At 48.9% G+C, this 19,086-nt stretch overlaps 2 protein-coding genes across 7 annotated transcripts in view, besides 2 other annotated features; one reads left to right on the plus strand and one right to left on the minus strand.

The window, feature by feature from the left end:
- Positions 1 to 18,538, plus strand: part of NCR1 (natural cytotoxicity triggering receptor 1) — a 40,011-nt gene extending 21,473 nt beyond the window's left edge. The window contains exon 6 of one of the 2 annotated variants that reach the window (XM_011527530.4): positions 18,466 to 18,538. In XM_011527530.4, coding sequence (XP_011525832.1) covers positions 18,466 to 18,473 — 8 coding nt within the window. In that variant the 3' untranslated portion in view covers positions 18,474 to 18,538. Of the gene's footprint in view, positions 1 to 1,473; positions 1,845 to 18,465 lie in introns of those variants that run through there. The other variant, XM_011527529.4, reaches the window with a different exon arrangement.
- Positions 657 to 1,158: an enhancer, noted in NCBI's record as "H3K4me1 hESC enhancer chr19:55431695-55432196 (GRCh37/hg19 assembly coordinates)". NCBI's record gives its function as "activates a minimal SCP1, AML or CMV promoter by ChIP-STARR-seq in naive H9 embryonic stem cells {active_cell/tissue: H9 hESC(naive)}" and the evidence as "EXISTENCE:reporter gene assay evidence [ECO:0000049][PMID:30033119]".
- Positions 1,159 to 1,658: an enhancer, noted in NCBI's record as "H3K4me1 hESC enhancer chr19:55432197-55432696 (GRCh37/hg19 assembly coordinates)". NCBI's record gives its function as "activates a minimal SCP1, AML or CMV promoter by ChIP-STARR-seq in naive H9 embryonic stem cells {active_cell/tissue: H9 hESC(naive)}" and the evidence as "EXISTENCE:reporter gene assay evidence [ECO:0000049][PMID:30033119]".
- NLRP7 (NLR family pyrin domain containing 7) overlaps positions 3,845 to 19,086 on the minus strand; it is a 42,729-nt gene continuing 27,487 nt past the window's right edge. For 2 of the 5 annotated variants that reach the window (NM_001405531.1, NM_001127255.2), the window contains 7 exons: positions 18,374 to 18,571; positions 16,591 to 16,761; positions 14,819 to 14,989; positions 13,899 to 14,069; positions 10,829 to 10,996; positions 7,935 to 8,105; positions 3,845 to 4,202 (listed from right to left, as the gene is read on the minus strand). In NM_001405531.1, coding sequence (NP_001392460.1) covers positions 4,070 to 4,202; positions 7,935 to 8,105; positions 10,829 to 10,996; positions 13,899 to 14,069; positions 14,819 to 14,989; positions 16,591 to 16,761; positions 18,374 to 18,571 — 1,183 coding nt within the window. In that variant the 3' untranslated portion in view covers positions 3,845 to 4,069. Of the gene's footprint in view, positions 4,203 to 7,934; positions 8,106 to 10,828; positions 10,997 to 13,898; positions 14,070 to 14,818; positions 14,990 to 16,590; positions 16,762 to 18,373; positions 18,572 to 19,086 lie in introns of those variants that run through there. The other 3 variants (NM_139176.4, NM_206828.4, XM_047438386.1) reach the window with 3 other exon arrangements.

Consider the following 19,086-nt stretch of genomic DNA (forward strand, 5'->3'; position numbering starts at 1 on the left):
TGGAGGAGCAGAGTCTTCTCTAAACTCCCCCGGGGAAAGGGAGACCCCCCCCCCCACCCGCTGCCCCTTTCCCGGTCTGCTAAGTAGCGGGTGTTGTTAATTGACACCTTTTGCTACCGCTGGACCATGATCCGCTTGGTGACGGGTGTCTTCCCAGACGCTGGCGTCACCGCTAGACCAAGGAGCCCTCTGGTGGCCCTGTCCGGGCATAACAGAAGGCTCGCACTCTTGTCTTCTGGTCACACCTCACTATGTCCCCTCAGCTCCTATCTCTGTATGGCCTGGTTTTTCCTAGGCTATGATTATAGAGTGAGGATTATTATAATATTGGAATAAAAAGTAATTGCTACCGGCTAATGATTAATGATACTCATATATAATCATATCTAAGATCTATATCTGGTATAACAATTCTTGTTTTATATTTTATTATACTGGAACAGCTCGTGTCCTCTGTCTCTTGCCTCGGTGCCTGGGTGCCTTGCCGCCCACAATCCACTCATTATTCAATGGGCACTTCGGTTGGTTCCACATCTTTGCAATTGTGAATGGCTGAGCCAGCCATTCTTAACTGGGGGTGATTTTGTCCCCATGGGGGTATCTGGCCACATCCCGAGAGGTTTTTTGGTTGTCACGAGTTGCAGTGGGGGCAGGCTCAGGCTCATCCAAGTCCAGGGGTGCTGCTATACATCACGTGATACACAGGACAGTCCTTGCTACGGACTGAATTGGTCCCACCAAACGTCATGTACAAGCCCTACCCCAGATGTGACTCTATTTGGACACAGGGCTTTTCAGAGGTAATTAAGGCTGGTCAGGCGCCGTAATCACAGCACTTTAGGAGTTCTGTGTTTATTACTGGTAAGTGGGTAAGAGCCCAGTGTGGCAGCTCACGCGTGTAATCCCAGCACTTTGGGAAGCGAAGGCAAGGGGATAACTGGAGGCCAGCAGTTCAAGACAAGCCTGGTCAATACAGCAAGACTCCATCTCTATAAAATATTTTAAAATTAGCCAAGCATGTTTGGCATGCACCTGTAATCCCAGCTCAGGAGGCTCAGGTGGGAGGATTCCTTGAGTTTAAGGCTGCAGTGAGCTAAGATCGCACCATTGCACTCCAACCCGGCTGTGGGCAACACAGCACCACCACCATCTTGGCTGGGCACGGTGGCTCACGCCTGTCATGCCAGCACTTTGGGAGGCCGAGGCGGGTGGCTCACCTGAGGTCAGGAGTTTGAGACTAGCCTGGCCAACATGGTGAAATCACGCCACTGCACTCCAGCCTAGGCAACCAAGTGAGACTCTGTCCGCCCCACCACCCCACCAAAAAAAAGACTACTATCTTAAACAAAATCAAAATTTTTAAGTAGATAAAATATTTAGGGGAAAAAAACTTCAATTAAATATGCAGCAGAGTCCGACCCAGATGTTTTCACTCCCAGCCTCTACCTACTATCTTTGTGTCTTTATTTTTAGCAAATTCTACACGGGAACTTCATGTGCATGTAGAACCCTAAATGTTGACTCAGCCCTACCTCTCATCACCTGACCACTTCCTTTATTCACGCTGTCTCTACCACCCTTCCCATCGGTGTGAGCTGTATCCCGCTAAACACTGTTACCACCCACAGCCTGCATTACTACCAGCTGACTGTAGCCTTAAACACCACAGTGATCTCGAGCATTTGAGAAGACTTATCTTGACAAGGGCTCACGAAAGACAGCAATGCTCAACAGCAAGATAAATGAGGGCCTTCATGGGATCATTCAGTGCTGAAGCCACTCAACCTCCAGGTTTGGGTTAGTAAAAAGAACTTTGTCAGGCCAGGCACAGTGGCTCACGCCTGTCATCCCAGCACTTTGGGAGGCCAAGGCGGGCAGATCACCTGAGGTCAGGAGTTCAAGACCAGCCTGGCTAACATGGTGAAACCTCGTCTTTACTAAAAATACAAAAATTAGCCAGGCATGGTGACGCACACCTCTAGTCTCAGCTACTCCGGAGGCTGGGACAGAAGACTCACTTGAACCCAGGAGGCAGAGGTTGTAGTGAGCCAAGATCGCACCACTGCACTCCAGCCTGGGCGACAGAGGCAAGACTCCATCTCAAAAAAAAAAAAAAAAAAAAAAAGAAAAGAAAACTTTGTCATACAAGCTTTCAACCTAAAGCATTAGCCATATGCCCGTGTTTTTGTGCCTGGGACCATGACAACTTTCCCCATATCAATGCTCTTATTTTTTTTTTTTCGAGACAAGAGTTTTGCTCTTATTGCCCAGGCTGGAGTGCAGTGGCACAATCTCAGCTCACCGCAAACTCCGCCTCCCGGGTTCAAGCGATTCTCCTGCCTCAGCCTCCCGAGTAGCTGGGATTACAGGCATACACCACCCCACCCGGCTAATTTTGTATTTTTAGTAGAGACGGGGTTTCTCCATGTTGAGGCTGGTCTCGAACTCCTGACCTCAGGTGATCCGCCCGCCTCGGCCTCCCAAAGTGCTGGGATTACAGGTGTGAGCCACAGCGCCTGGCTGCTCTTATTAAAATAGTCTCATCACCTACCGCAAGCGTGGAGAGCCAAGTGAGGAGAGGGGTCAGTCCCTTTTGGCAGCGCCTGGAAGCCAGTGCTAACATCATGGTGACAACTTTTCATTCTTAAGGAAAATTGCGGAGTGACTTCTATGCATTTTCTATGAATGACCAAATACAGGGTGTGGAAAAGCTGTGTTTGCCATGGCAATGGGAAGCCGAGAGAAACGGGGAGGCGAGAGAGACAGAGACATACACAGAGACTCCCAGAGACAGCCACACAGACTCACACAGAAACAGACAGACAGGCTGGGCTCGGTGGCTCACGCCTGTAATCCCACCACTCTGGGAGGCTGAGGCGGGTAGATCACCTGAGGTCAGGAGTCCGAGAACAGCCTGGCCAACATTGTGAAACCCCGTCTCTAGTAAGAATACAAAAAATTAGCCAGGCATGGTGGCACAGGGCTGTAATTCCGGCTACTCGGAAGGCTGAGGCAGGAGAATCACTTGAACCTGGGAGGCGCGGTTGCAGTGAGCTGAGATCACGCCATTGCACTCCAGCATGGGCGACAAGAGTGAAACTCCGTCTCAAAAAAAAAAACAAAAAAAAAAAACGAAAGAACAGAGAGACACATACAAAGACAGAGATAGAAACGCCCAGCGACAGAGACACACACAGAGAAACACAGACAGACACAGAGACACACACACAGAAACAGACACAGAGACAGAGAGACAAAAAGACAGACACAGAGAAACAAAGAGAGACACACAGAGACAGAGAGAGAGAGAGACACATACACACACACACAGAGAGTAGGAGGCGGCCCGTGGGAGCCGAGCAGAACCAGCGTGAGGCAGGGCCATCTTCTGAATTAAAGGCAACAGTGACTGTAAGCTTGTGCTTTGTGAGTAACAGGATAGATTAGAACAGGGCTGGCTGCCCATGGCCCACGAGCTGTTTCTGGGAAGCCTCCGCAGGTGCCAGCCAGGCCCTGCGCTGCTTCCATGTCCAAAGGCACAGCTGAGAGCTGATGAGAGACCGCGGGGCCCACAGTGCCAAGCATATGAACTATCTGGCCCGTTTGTCAATGCGTGGGTTGATCACATAAGTTATGATCACATAAGTCACAAAGACACACTGATCACATAGATGCACCTGGCAGATAGTAGACCACATGGCGCCTGAGTTAGGGAAGAAAAGAAATAGAAGAATCAACCGAATCATCCCTGAACTTCTTAGCAATACTTCCTCCTAGACAAAGCACAGAGTACCATGTTTATTGCAGGTTTGCTCCTGAGCATGTCAATAAACGCAGCTGCAACGAGAGTGCTCTAACTTTATTATCCCTGTGAGAAAGTACATAGCGTCATGTGAAGGGGGTGCGTGACTCGTGCAGAATCTCCCAAAAATAGTGAGAAAACCAGTGTCAAATCCTACCTCTCGACAGACTCTAGTGTTAACATGTGACCCTCTGACCTGCATTCATAAGACATCTTAGAGACCCGAATCCCGCTTCCTGTGTAATTCGTAGAGCGATCCCAGGCTGCTCAGCAAAAAAAGTCACAGCACGGAGGTGCCGTTGCCCCGGAAGCATTGCAATCAATAGTCAGCTTGGGATTCTTTTCTTTCACTTCCTCCAACAGCTTCTTGATTTCCAAATTAGTTTCATAGGTCTTCAACCTGGAGGGATCAGAGAACACAAATGTTCCCAGAAATTCATTCTCAACTACCCAGGATGCCTGAATATCTGTTTTCAAACACTCAAAGCAGGAAACGTTTTTGGGATTTTCTGGGGGACAGGGTCTTGCTCTGTTGCCCAGGCTGGGGTACAGTGGTGCCATCTTGGCTCTCTGCAACCTCCAGCTCCCAAGTTCAAGCAATTCTCATGCCTCAGGCTCCTGAGTAACTGTGATTACAGGTGTGCACCACCACGCTTGGCTAAGTTTTGTATTTACAGTAGAGATGGGGTTTCGACATGTTAGCCAGGCTGGTCTCGAACTTCTGGCCTCAAGTGATCCATCCACCTCGGCCTCCCAAAGCCATGGGATTACAGATGTGAGCCACAGCACCCAGTCAGAAAAGTTTTCTAAAAAGAAATTTAGACCCACACAATGGGGATCCTTATAAGTCTAAGAAAAAAAAGATTATGGCCAGGCACGGTGTCTCGCACCTGTAGTCCCAGCACTTTGGGAGGCCAAGGCAGGCAGATTGCTTGAGCTCCGCAGTTCAAGGCCAGCCTGGGCAACACGGTGAAACCCTGTCTCTACCAAAAATAGAAAAAGTTAGCCAGGAATGGTGGTGCACGCCTATAGTCCCAGCTACTCGGGAGGCGGAGGCAAGAGGATCACTTGAGCCCAGGAGGCGGAGGTTGCAACGAGCTAGAGATTGCCCTACTGCACTCCAGCCTGGTAACAGAGTAAAACATGCCTTTAAAAAATAAATTTAAAAAATAGATAATCAGGCTGGTGCACGGTGACTCACGCCTATAATTCCAGCACTTTGGGAGGCCGAGGCGGGCAGATCACCTGAGGTCAGGAATTCGAGACCAGCCTGGCCAACATAGTGAAACCCCGTCTCTACTAAAAATACAAAAATTAGCTGGGCATGGTGGCAGACAACTGTAATACCAGCTACTCAGGAGGCTGAGACAGGAGAATCGCTTTGAACCTGGGAGGCAGATGTTGCAGTGAGCCAATACCGCACCACTGTACTGCAGCCCGGGTGACAGAGCGAGACTCTGCCTCCAAATAAATAAATAAAAAATAGTGGCAAATCAAACCTTCAGTAGAACTAAGAGAATGCCAGAGTGAACCCCAGGGTTAATGATAGCAAACTTGGCTCTAACGTGGCTGCAGCATGCAAGCCTGTGTATGTGAACATGAGGGGTGGTGATTGTGGAGACACTGGCTTGCTATGTTGCCCAGGCTGGTCTCAAACTCCTGGCCTCAAACAATCCTCCCACCTTGGCCTCCCAAAGGAGGAACTGAGGAATGAGAAAAGAAATACGCCCCAAACATATGACATAAGAGACCACAGGGGGCTAGAGATTTGTCACCAATAGTCCTTGGTGGCATTACAGACCTCGGTCCCACCAACAAGAGAAGCATGACACTATTTAGCTCAAGTTTCATGATATACCCCTAAAACCTTAACCCATTTATGCCAGAGGTTACAATTATTTGAACTGCAGACGTGTGAAAAATCGTACCTTGAGCAGGATATAAATAACTCCCACATGCTTAGCGTTCCAATAATGCAACACTGGGCATCATGAAGCAGTTTACATGCGTATCATCTCTACAACTAAAATAACTCTTGAATAAGACAAGTGGGCTGTGCACAGTGGCTCACGCCTGCAATCCGGGTACTTTGTGAGGCCAAGACAGGAGGATCGTTTGAAGCCAGGAGTTTGAGAACCTCGGCAACACGGCCACACAGTGCAGCAGAGCAAAACGTTGTCTCAGAAAAGAAAAGACAAAGGCAAGAAGAAACTAAAGGTAGATTACGTTAAAATAAGTCACTGAGGCCGGGCGCGGTGGCTCACGCCTGTAATCCCAGCACTTTGGGAGGCCGAGGTGGGCAGATCACCTGAGGTCAGGAATTCGAGACCAGCCTGGCCAACATAGTGAAACCCCATCTCTACTAAAAATACAAAAAATTAGCCGGGCGTGGTGGCGGGCGCCTGTAGTCCCAGCTGCTCGGGAGGCTGAGGCAGGAGAATGGCGTGAACCCGGGAGGTGGAGCTTGCAGTGAGCCGAGATCGCACCGCTTCACTCCAGCCTGGGCGACAGAGACTGGAGTCTCTGTCTCAAAAAAAAGACAGATTCAAAAAAAAAGACAGACTCCGTCTCAAAAAAAAGACTCCGTCTCAAAAAAAAATAAAAAATACAAATAAGTCATTGAAAAGATATACACGGGTCACAACTAAGGGAGCATCTGTAGGACGATCTTCTGAAAAGCTAAGACCCAGGACAGCTCTGGGAACTACCTATTTTTGGATATAATGATTAGGGGTGTGTGTGTGTGTGTGTGTGTGCTCATGCACACACATACACACAAGCTTCCAGTCTGTACTCCAGGATGATTTAAACTCTCAGTATGCCTAGGACTAAGTGTTTTGGGGGAAAGTTGGACAATATTCAATTCACAGAGCATTTTAGAAAAGTATCTAATTTTTAAATTATCTCCTAAGCTAGGAGTGTGCTATAGAAAGATGCCTTAAGTTGATCCCTACAAAGAGTACACACACTCCCAAAAAAACTCTTCTCTGCATGGGAAATTCACCATGTGAAACAGCCATCCCAGGGCCGAGCACAGTGGCTCACGCCTGTAATCCCGGCACTTTGAGAGGCTGAGGCAGGTGGATCACCTGAGGTTGGGAGTTTGAGACCAACCTGACCAACATGGTGAAACCCCATCTCTACTAAAAACTACAAAAATTGGCCAGGTGCAGTGGCTCATGCCTGTAATCCCAGCACTTTGGGAGGCCAAGGCGAGAAGATCACCTGAGGTCAGGAGCTCGAGACCAGCCTGGCCAACATGGCAAAACCCCATCTCTACTAAAAATACAAAAATTAGCTGGGTGTGGTGGCGAGCGACTGTAATCCTAGCTACTCAGGAGGCTGAGGCAGGAGAATCACTTGAACCCAGGAGGCAGAGGTTGCACTGAGCCGAGATAGCGCCACTGCACTCCAGCCTGGGGGACAGAGAGAGACTCTGTCTTTAAAAAAAAAAAAAAAAAAAAAAAATTAGCCAGCTGTGGTGGTGTGTACCTGTAATCCCAGCTACTCAGGAGGTTGAGGCAGGAAAATCGCTTCAACCTGTGAGAAGGAGGCTGCAGTGAGTCAAGATCGCGCCACTGCACTCCAGCCTGGGCAACAGTGAGACTCCATCCCAAAAAGCAAAAACCAAAAAGGCCGGGTGCAATGGCTCACCTCTGTAATCCCACCACTTTGGGAGGCCGAGGCAGGTGGCTCACCTGAGGTCAGGAGTTCAAGACTAGCCTGGCCAACATGGTGAAACCCCTCTCTACTAAAAAATTAGCCAGGCATGGTGGCAGGCATCTGTAATTCCAGCTACTTGGGAGGCCAAGGTGGGAGAATCGCTTGAACCCAGGAGGTGGGGGTTGCAGTGAGCCAAGATCGCACCACTGCACTCCAGCCTGGGCTACAAGAACAAAACTCCGTCTCAAAAAAAAAAAAAGAAAAAGAAAAAAATTAGCTGGACATGTTGGCATGCCTCTAGGCCCAGCTACTCATGAGGCTGAGGCAGGAGAATTGCTTGAACCTGAGAGGCAGAGGTTGCGGTGAGCCAAGATTGCGCCACTGCACTCCAGCCTGAATGACAGAGCACGACTCCATCTCAAAAAAACAAAAACAAAAAACAAAACAAAACAAAACAAAAAACCCATACCTGAGTATCTTCAAGGATCCAGTTCTTTGTCTTAGAACCCCAAAGAGCTTAATTATGCCACTCTTCCACAAATGATTCTGGCCCAGGTCCAGAGTTTCAAGCTTCTGATTGCTGAGGAGAGCAGATCCAAGATGCTGACAATAGAAAGGCATGAGGGAGCAGCTCCAGAGGCTGTTGAGGAAGAACATGGAAATCCACGCATTCACTGAGCAGGTAGTGGCTCAAGCGTGTAATCCCAACACTTCGGGAGGCCAAGGCGGGTGGATCACTTGAGGCCAGGTGTTCGAGACCAGCCTTGCCAACACGGTCAAACCCCATCTCTACTAAAAATACAAAGATTAGGCAGGGCGTGGGGACAGACACCTGTAGCCCCAGCACCTTGGGAGGCCGAGGAGGGTAGATCACCTGAGGTCAGGAGTTCGAGACCAGCCAGGCCAACATGGCAAAACCCCATCTCTACAAAAAATTAGCCATGCATGGTGGTGTGTGCCTTTAATGCTAGCTACTTGGGAGGCTGAGGCACAAGAATCGCTTCAGCCTGGGAGGCGGAGGTTACAGTGAGCCCAGATTGCGCCACTGCACTCCAGCCTGGGCAATAGAATGAGACTCCATCTCACAAATATATAACATAAAATGAAAATACAAAAATTAGCCAGGTATGGTGGAACCACCTATAATTCCAGCTACTCGAGAGGCAGGAGAATCGCCTGAACCAGGAGGCAGAGGTTGTAGTTAGCCAACATATCACCACTGCATTCCAGCTTGGGTGAAAGAGTGAGACTTGGTCTCAAACAAAACAAAACAAAAAAACAAGCAGCATATTTGCTGGGGCTCCAGTAGTGAGGAAAGGCAGAGGGGAGTGAGCAGAAGAAATCCTTGTCCTCAGAGTTTTTAGTGACAGCAGACATCTCGATATGTTCTATTGAAGACAATGGATGATGGTATTAAAATAAACAGGGTAGAGGTAAGTCAAACAGAGAGGCATTGATTGGCTAGACTTATGCTGGTCATTTAAGTCCTCTTTTGGAAAGTGATATGAGGAAAGAAACTGAAGGATGGTAGATCATGAACCAGCATGCTAACTGGGGGAGGGAATCTTGTAAATAAAATACTGAGCTAGTGAGAAAGTAGAATGATTTATGGCTCATAACTTACACGAGGATCCCCCATAAGGCCCTGTAGGCCACTGTAGAAGCCTTTGGTTTTGTTTTTTTTAAGGCAGAGTTTCACTCTTGTTGCCAAGGCTGGAGTGCAATGGCGTGATCTCGGCTCACTGCAACCTCCGCCTCCTGGGTTCAAGCGATTCTCCTGCCCCAGCCTCCCGAGAATCTAGGATTACAGTCATAGCTGAGATTACAGGAACAAGACACCAGGTAATCCACCCGTTTGCATTGAGCTTTTGAGTCTTTGGAAATAAAGGTATCACGGTCTGGCTTGAGGCTTGAAATATTCCTCAGGGGGATGGGTTAAGAAACTTCAGGAGGCCAGGAATGGTGGCTCATGCCTGTAATCCCAGCACTTTGGGAGGTTGAGGCAGGTGGATCACTTGAGGTCAGGAGTTTGAGACCAGTCTGGCTAACATGGTGAAACCTGGTCTCTACTAAAAATACAAAAATTAGCTGGGTATGGTGGTGCACGCCTGTAATCCCAACTACTCAGCTCAATCAGGAGAATCGCTTGAACCTTGGAGGCTGAGGTTGCAGTGAGCCAAGATCGCACCACTGCACTCCAGCCTGGGTGACAAAGCGAGACTCTGTCTGAAAAAAGAAAAAAAGTACCCTGTGTTCTAGTGTTTTTTTTCTTTACTCTACAGCAAAGCTAAGTAGTAATGACGTGCAGATTCTCTTTGCATTAGGATTGCAGATTCTAGTTGGAAAATAGGTTGCATCCAAGAGATGCAACTGACAAACTTTGGGGAGAGAAGTGATGAAGAGCTCGCCATTCCATTTGTGGAGACTTTGCATTTTCTGGGGGTGGTATCCCACCTATGGTTCCCTGGGTTTATGAGGTGGGGCAGGCTCACTGCTTCCTGATTACTGGATCCCAGCAGAAGCAGCATGCTGCTGAAGTCCAGGTCACTGGGGGCCATTGTTATATATATTTCACTTCTCCAGGCCCTCTACCTGACTTTAGAAGTGCCCACCCACATATATTCAGTTTCTGGAGGGGTTTGATCTTAAAACTGGATCCGAAGTGATACAGTCTGAGATATTGAAAACATAGAAATTGGCCGGGCGTGGTGGCTCACGCCTGTAATCCCAGCACTTTGGAAGGCCAAGGCGGGCAGATCATGAGGTCAGGAGATCGAGACCATCCTGGCTAACACTGTGAAACCCATCTCTACTAAAAATACAAAAAAAATTAGCCAGGCACGGTGGCGGGCATCTGTAGTCCCAGCTACTCAGGAGGCTGAGGCAGGAGAATAGCGAGAACCCGGGAGGAAGAGGTTGCAGTAAGCCGAGATCGCGCCACTGCACTCCAGCCTGGGCAACTAGAACGAGGCTCCGTCTCAAAAAAAAAAAAAAAAAAAGAAAACATAGAAATTAAGGATTTCCAGATTTCCAAACACTTTAAAAATGAGGCCAGGCATGATGGCTCATGCCTGTAATCCTAGCACATTGGGAGGCCGAGGTGGGAGGATTCCTTGAGCACCAGAATTCAAAACCAGCCCGGGAAAGATGACAAGACCTCATCTCTACAGAAAACAGTTACCTGGCCATGGTAATACATGCCTGTAGAGCCAGCTACTCAGGAGGCTGAGGTGGGAGAACCGATCAAGCCTGGAAGACCGAAGCCGCAGTGAGCCGTAATCACCCCACTGCACTCCAGGCTGGGGGACAGAGCAAGACCCTGTCTCAAAAAAAGAAAGAAAGAAGAAAAAGAAAATCGCCTACCGTAGGTGTTTTAGGTTACAGTTTGGATTCTCTAATGCCTGACAGAGAATCCACAATCCACGAGCTATCTGGTTGATACTCAAGTCCAGGTTTGTGAGGCTGCAGGCTTCTTGGAGCGCCTCTGAGAGATATCTACAGCCAAGCTTGGTTATGCTGCATTGCTGTAACCTACAGGATAATCAAAGGAAGAGAAGCCTGTTATCCCTCTGGCTAACGCCCTGTGAAGCAGTTATTTCCAACACTATATACCTTCCACTTATATACTGGAATGCAGTGCTGCACTCTTGGCTCACTGCAACCTCTGCCTCCCAGGTTCAAGCGATTCTTCTGCCTCAGCCTCCCAAGTAGCTGGGATTATAGGTGCCCGCCACCTATATAACCAGACTTGGTGGTGCACGCCTGTAGTGCCAGCTACTCAGAAGACTGAGGCAGGAGAATCGCTTGAATCCGGGAGGCAGAGGCTGCAGTGAGCTGAGATCGCGCCACTGCACTCCAGCCCGGGCGACAGAGCGAGACTCCGTCTCAAGAAAACAACAACAACAACAAAAAGTATTTATATAAAACATAGGTGGCAGGTAGGAATTGACCCATGAACTGGAGCTATATACTTCCAGGTGGGCTTGCACATAAAAGCATGCAAATGGGCCGGGCACAGTGGCTCACGCCTATAATCACAGCAGTGGGAGGCCAAGACGGGCAGATCATTTGAGGTCAGGAGTTCAAGACCAGCCTGGCCAACATGGTGAAACCCCATCTCTACTAAAAAATACAAAAATCGGGCCGGGCGCGGTGGCTCAAACCTGTAATCTCAGCACTTTGGGAGACCAAGGTGGGTGAATCACAAGATCAGGAGTTCAAGACCAGCCTGGCCAAAGTGGTGAAACCCCATCTTTACTAAATACAAAAATTAGCTGGGCACGATGGCTCACACCTGTAATCTCAGCACTTTGGGAGGCTGAGGCAGACAGATCACCTGAGGTCGGGAGTTCAAGACCAGCCTAAGCAATATGGAGAAACCCGTCTCTACTAAAAATACAAAATTAGCCAGGTGTGGTGGCACATGCCTGTAATCCCAGCTACTCAGGAGGCTGAGGCAGGAGAATCTCTTGAACTGGGGAGACGGAGGTTGTGGTGAGCAGAGATTGCACCATTGCACTCCAGCCTGGGCAAGAGCGAAACTCCATCTCAAAAAAAAAAAAAAATTAGCCAGGTGTGGCGGCCCATGCCTGTAATCCTAGCTACTCAGGAGGCTGAGGTAGGAGAATTACTTGAACCCAGGAAGCGGAGGTTGCAGTGAGCCAAGATCGCACCACTGCACTCCAGCCTGGTGACAGAGAGAGACTGTTAAAAAAAAAAAAAAAACATCCAAATGGCCTTCTGATTCCATCCATTTCCAGCTCTGCCTGGGACAACAGCTTAGGCTCTGGGTTCAGACCGACCCAGGACAGGATCTGAGCCCTGGGTCACTTATTTTCTGCGTGGTTAGATTATGGAAATTTCACTTTCCCTGTCATTTTATTTCATGTTTAAGTTTTGTCTTTAACTGACACATTCTACATATATAGGGGTATAGTGTGATGTTTTGGTGCAGGTACACTTCGTATAACGATCAGGTAGGTGACTGTTTGTTTAACAATAGTTATTCTAAGCCAGGCACAGTGGCTCATGCCTGGAACGCCAGCACTTTGGGAGGCCGAGGCAGGCAGATCACTTAAGGCCAGGAGTTCAAGACCAGCCTGGCCAACATGGTGAAACCTCATCTCCACTAAAAGTGCAAAAATTAGCCAGGCATGGTGGAGGGCACCTGTAATCCCAGCTACTTGGGAGGCTGAGGCAGGAGAATCGCTTGAACCTGGGAGGCAGAAGTTGCAGTCAGCCAAGATTACACCACTGCATTCCAGTCTGGGCGACAGAGTGAGACTTCATCCAAAAAAAAAAAAATGAATCTCAGAAATGACCACTAGCTAGAATTTCTGAACAGGAACAGGTCTTCAACCCTATGCAATCTCTTGAATATTTTTCTAACCATAATTTTAATGTGAACAGGTAGCTCACGCTGGGCTTCTTTCCATATAACAAGATTCAGCCAACTATAGTTCGTGGGTCAATTCCAACCTGCCACCTATGTCTTTTACAAATAAGGATTTTTGTTGAGTTTTTTTTTGTTTTTTTCTTGAGACGGAGTCTCACTCTGTCGCCCGGGCTGGAGTGCAGTGGCGCCATCTCAGCTCACTGCAGCCTCTGCCTCCCAGATTCAAGCGATTCTCCTACCTCAGCCTTCTGAGTAGCTGGTACTATAGGCACGCACCACCAAGCCTGGTTAATTTTTGTATTTTTTAGTAGCGATGGGTTTTCACCATGTTGGCCAGGCTGGTCTCGAACCTTAGGTGATCTGCCCACCATTCACCACCTGTTCCCCAATAACCTATGGAAATAAAAGTTTAAAAAAAGGTGCCACTGGCCCTACCACATAACTCAATCTACCTCCAATAGCAGGCAGTACTATGTCATAGGAATTTGAAAGAACACACACAAAGCATCAGATCCGAGAACCAACTACTCATCTCAAATCTTCCTTCATAGCAGGAAGAGGCTCTGCTGACATGCAAATATTAACATGTTTCTACCTGTATCTGCCTGGTTTTTTTTGTTTCTTTGTTTTTTTGAGAAGGAGTCTTGTTCTGTCGCCCAGGCTGGAGTGCAGTGGTGCGATCTCGGCTCACTGCAACCTCCGCCTTCCAGGTTCACGCCATTCTCCTGTCTCATCCTCCCAAGTAGCTGGGACTACAGGCATCCGCCACCACACCTGGCTAATTTTTGGTATTTTTAGTACAGACAGGGTTTCACCATGTTAACCAGGATGGTCTCCATCTCCTGACCTCATGATCCACCCGCCTCGGCCTCCCAAAGTGCTGGGATTACAGGCATGAGCCACCACGCCTGGCCTCTGCCTGTTCTTTAATTCTTACCAGGTTTTTAAAAGTTACATTTGAAATGAATTAACAAGTACTTTCATGTCTCTCCTGCTTGAATTCATGTGCACACACACACACACCCAGCAGGGACTTACACCAAGGTCTGCAGTTTACAATCAGGGTAACTCAAGCCCTCACACAGAAACTTCACCCCTGTATCCCCAATGGGGTTCTTGGCCAAGCACAGGTGTGTCAGCTTCTTGCTGACAACCAAGACAGCAGCAAGGTCCTTGCAACTGGCTTCTGTAAGACGACAGTTTTCCAACCTGCAAAAATATGAAACAAATGGTAGAAGGATGAGAACATTTCCACAACTCCAACCTGCTCAGTGATGTCCACATGCTAGGGTACTCAGCTTCAGCCCTTCCTGTTCATCCCCTGCCCTCTGTCCTGTGGGAGTCATCATGGCCACAAAAGAGCAGGAAGGCGAGAAGGCCAAGATGCAGCGGTCCACCTGGAGCCATCACAGGACACAGGTGTTGTTTTTGAGACGGAGTCTCGCTCTGTCGCCCAGGCTGGAGTGCAGTGGCGCGATCTCGGTTCACTGCCAATCGCCGCCTCCCAGGTTTACACCATTCTGCTGACTCAGCCTCCTGAGTAGCTGGGACTACAGGCGCCCACCACACCTGGATAATTTTTTGTATTTTTTAGTAGAGACGGGGTTTCACCATGTTAGCCAGGATGGTCTCGATCTCTTGACCTCGTGATCTCCCCGCCTTGGCCTCCCAACGTGCTGGGATTACAGGCATGAGCCACCGCACCCGGCCTGTTTTTGGTATTTTTAATAGAAACAGGGTTTCACCATGTTGGCCAGGTTGGTCTCGAACTCCTGAACTCAGATGATCCGCCCACCTCTCTGCTGAGATTACAGGCAGGAGCCACCGTGCCGGGCCTGAAGCAGGTGTTTATTTCAGCAAGAGGCGCCACGTGGGTGGCGCAGTAAGTCAGGTGTTACCCTTTCTCTTCTATAGCCCCAGAACTAAACCAGAGCTGCCCATGGGAAGAGGAGACTTACGACAACATCTGCAGGAAGTGTTTTGGGCGTGTCATGGTCTTGTACAGCAACATGGCACCCTCATCCAGGAGCACATTGGCTGAGAGACGCAGGTGCTTCAGGGACTGGTTGGCTTTGAGGACATAGAAGAATTCAGCCCACTGCTCCGGGGTGGCACAGTGACCTCCCAACCTGTGAAAAGAGTGGGAAAAGTCATTCTTCTGGGAGGACAGAGTATACCCTATCAGCTTTTTTTTTTTGAGACAGAGTTTCACTCTGTTGCCCAGTCTGGAATGCAAAGGCGTGATCTCACCTCACTGCAGCCTCCGCCTCCCGGGTTCAAGCTATTCTCCTGCCTCAGCCTCCGAAGTAGCTGGGATTACAGGCATTCGCCAATTTTTGTATTTTTAGTAGAGACGGGATTTCACCATGTTGGCCACACTGGTCTTGAACTCCTGACCTCAGGTGATCCACCCACCTTGGCCTACCGAAGTACTGGGATTACAGGTGTGAGCCACCGCGCCTGGCCCAGATCAGCTTCTTCTGCTTCACTTCCCAAGACATTATGTCTTTGGTTTATCTCATTCTACTCATGCCTCCAACCCTGGCCTGAATTACTGGAGAGATCTAATGTTGCCTCTGCTTCTTCAAGTATCCCCATGGCCATTAGGGTAACATCCAGCCACTTCTCCAAGAGATTGTAATACAATTCTGTGCAATGTTTCACCAAAACGGCCTGTGTGGATGATTTTGCAGGGGGGAAAAAAAAATTTTTTTTTTGAGACAGGATCTCGCTCTGTTGCCCAGGCTGGAGTGCAGTGGCATGATCACAGGTCACCACAACCTGTCTCCTGGGCTCAAATGATCCTCCCACCTCAGCATCCACTGTAGCTGGGACTAGAAGGGGCAAATTGATGCTTAATACTCAAAATAAAAATTTTATCCTGGCCAGGCGCAGTGGTTCATGCCTGTAATCCTAGCACTTTGGGAGGCCGAGACAGGCGGATCACTTGAGGTCAGGAGTTCGAGACCAGCCTGGCCAACATGGTGAAACCCTGTCTCTATTAAAAATACAAACATTTGCCAGGCGTGGTGGTGCACGCCTGTAACCCCAGCTACTCGGGAAGCTGAGGCAGAACTGCTTGAACCCAGGAGGCGGAGGTTGCAGTGAACGAGATCGCGCCACTGCGCTCCAGCCTGGGTGACAAGAATAAAACTGTCTCAAAGAAAAAAAAAAAAAAAAAAGATTCTCATTGAGTGCAGAGAAGGTTGCATGCTCCTTATGAATACCTAACTCCTGATGATCTGAGATTGATGATCCATTCTCCTCAGGCTCCCAAAGTGCGAGGATCATGCACTCCATAGGATCAGGCACCAACGATTAGCTCCTGTGCCTGATCTGAGATCGAACAGTTTCATCCCAAAACTACCCCCAAACCCGTCTGTGGAAAAAACTGTCTTGTGCAAAACCGGCCCGCGGTGCAGAAAAGGCTGGGGGCCACTGCTCTCAATCCCAACAATTAGGCAAGGTGCAGTCAGGAATAGCATGTCCCTAAAGCTGGAACCCAGCACAGAATTCGGGGTGTTTCTTTGCATGGATAGCTGGTTATGCAACACAGAAGACAAGCTGGTGGGGGAAAGAGGAGAGGCCGACTCCCCCACACAGGCCTGTTTGAGGAATACATTCCCTGTCTGGGACGGCATCTGGAGTGGTTACCCTTTTTCCTAGATCCCCCAGCAACACGGTGCAGTGGACTCCAGGTGCTGGGGAGAGCCGTGACCGTGAGACCCACCTCAGGTACTGCAGGTTGCATTTATGATTTCTGAGCAGGTCACACAGCATCAGCATCATCGTGCGTTCCCACTCGATGTGCCCTGCCAGGGTCAGGTGCGTGAGGGTCTTCTTCCCAATGAAAGCAAGACAGAAGTCCCGGTACGCGGTGTCAGGGGTGACGTTTTTAATCCTAGGGAAAAGCAGAAGAGATTCCACTTGGAGTGATTAATACTCACATTGTGTGGAGGCATGTATAAACAAAAAGCTGTTTCACATTTAGAAATTATTAGAAGTTCTTGGCCGGGTGCAGTGGCTCGTGTCTGTAACCCCAGCACTTTGGGAGGCTGAGGCAGGAGGATAACCTGAGGTCAGGAGTCTGAGACCAACCTGGGCAACATGGTGAAACTCCATCTCTACAAAAAATAAATTAGCTGGGGCCGAGGCAGGCAGATCGCCTGAGGTCAGGAGTTCGAGACCAGCCTGGCCAACATGGGGAAGCCCCGTCTCTACTAAAAATACAAAAATTAGCTGCACATGGAGGGGCATGCTTGTAGTCCCAGGTATTCGGGAGGCTGAGGTAGGAGAATCACTTGAATCCAGGAGGCAGAGGTTGCAGTGAGCCGAGACCGCACCACTGCACTCCAGCCTGGGCAACAGAGCAAGACTCCATCTCAAAAGAAAAAAAAATTCGCCGGGTGTGGTGGCTCACGCCTGTAATCCCAGCACTTTGGGAGGCCGAGGCCGAGGCGGGTGGATCACGAGGTCAGGAGATCAAGACCATCCTGGCTAACACGGTGAAACCCCGTCTTTACTAAAATTACAAAAAACTAGCCGGGCGTGGTGGCGGGCGCCTGTAGTCCCAGCTACTCGGGAGGCTGAGGCAGGAGAATGGCATGAACCCGGGAGGCAGGGCTTGCAGTGAGCCGAGATTGCTGCACTGCACTCCAGCCTGGGGAACATAGCGAGACTGTCTCAAAAAAAAAAAAAAAAGTCAAGAAGCAGAGGATCAGGAAAAACAACTAAGGGGTACTAGGCTTAATACTTGGGTGACAAAATAATCTGTACAACAAACTCCTATGACACACGGTTACCTGTGTAACTAACCTGTACTTGTACCTACTTTTTGGTTTGTTTTGGTAACAAAACAAACCAAAAAAAAGATAGCTGGGGCCAGGCATGGTGGCTCATGCCTGTAATCCCAGCACTTTCGAAGACCGAGGCAGGCGCATCACCTTAGGTCAGGAGTTCGAGACAAGCCTGGCCAAGATGGAGAAAATTCCACCTCTACTAAAAACACAAGATTAAGTCATTGCACTCCAGCGCCTAGGTGACAGAGTGAAACTCTGTCTCAGAAAAAATAAAAAATAAAAAAGGGGCCAGGTGCAGCGGCTCATGCCTATAATCCCAGCACTTTGGAAGGCCGAGGCAGGCAAATCACCTGAGGTCAGGAGCTCGAGATCAGCCTGGGCAACACGGTGAAAACCTGTCTGTGCTAAAAGTACAAAATTAGCCGGGCAAGGTGGCACATGCCTGTAATCCCAGCTACTCGGGAGGCTGAGGCAGGAGAATTGCTTGAACCTGGGAGGTGGAGGATGCAGTGAGCTGAGATCGCGCCATTGCACTCCAGCCTGGGCAACAAGAGTAAATCTCCGTCTCACCAAAAAAAAAAAAAAAAAAAAAGACAGCTGGAAAATCCCCAAATACATGGAGATGAAACAGCACATTTCCAAATTTAAAAAACAAAAGTACAAGAAGCTTAGTCATCGTTCAGGGTCTTCCTTGCAAGATGAGCTTCTACTTACTCCACTTTCTGCAGATGACAGGTGCTACGGGTTACGTGGTCACAAAGAATCCGCACAGAAGAGTCACTCAGGAAGCTTTGTTTCACTTCCAGAAACTTGAGGTTGCTGTTTGAGCTGAAGAGAGAGCAGAAATCTGTCCAGAGGCGAAGAGAGCGAAGATCCTGCCGAGCCCAGTTCGGAATGGTTAGGTAAGTGCACCTGCAGGAGAACACACGTTCATCTCTTAGGACTAGTACCTGCATGGTGAGATGGGCATCTGCAAACCACATTTCAATGGCAAAAACCACAATTACTTTTGCACCAACCTAAAACAGTGTCTATAGTAAACAATATTGCATCACATGCTTTGCTACCAGTATAGATCTTAAGTTTTACAAAAAAAATAAAATAATAGATAAGGCTGAGTGAGGTGGCTCATGCCTGTAATCCCAACACTTTGCTAGGCCAAAGTGGGAAGATCACTTGAGCCCAGGAGTTTAAGACCAACTTGGGCTAGAAACTGAGACCCCCATCTCTACAAAAAAATAAAATAATTAACCGGGCAAGGTGGTGCACGCCCATAGTCCCAGCTACTCGGGAGGCTGAGGCAGGAGAATCACTTGAACCCGGGAGGCGGAGGTTGCAGTGAGCCAAGATCGCGCCACTGCACTCCAGCCTGGGGGACAGAGCGAGACTCCGTCTCAAAAATAAAAAGCCCCAATTCCTAATTGCCA

This window comes from Homo sapiens, chromosome 19, assembly GCF_000001405.40.
Source record: "Homo sapiens chromosome 19, GRCh38.p14 Primary Assembly".
In the NCBI taxonomy this organism is placed as follows: domain Eukaryota; kingdom Metazoa; phylum Chordata; class Mammalia; order Primates; family Hominidae; genus Homo; species Homo sapiens.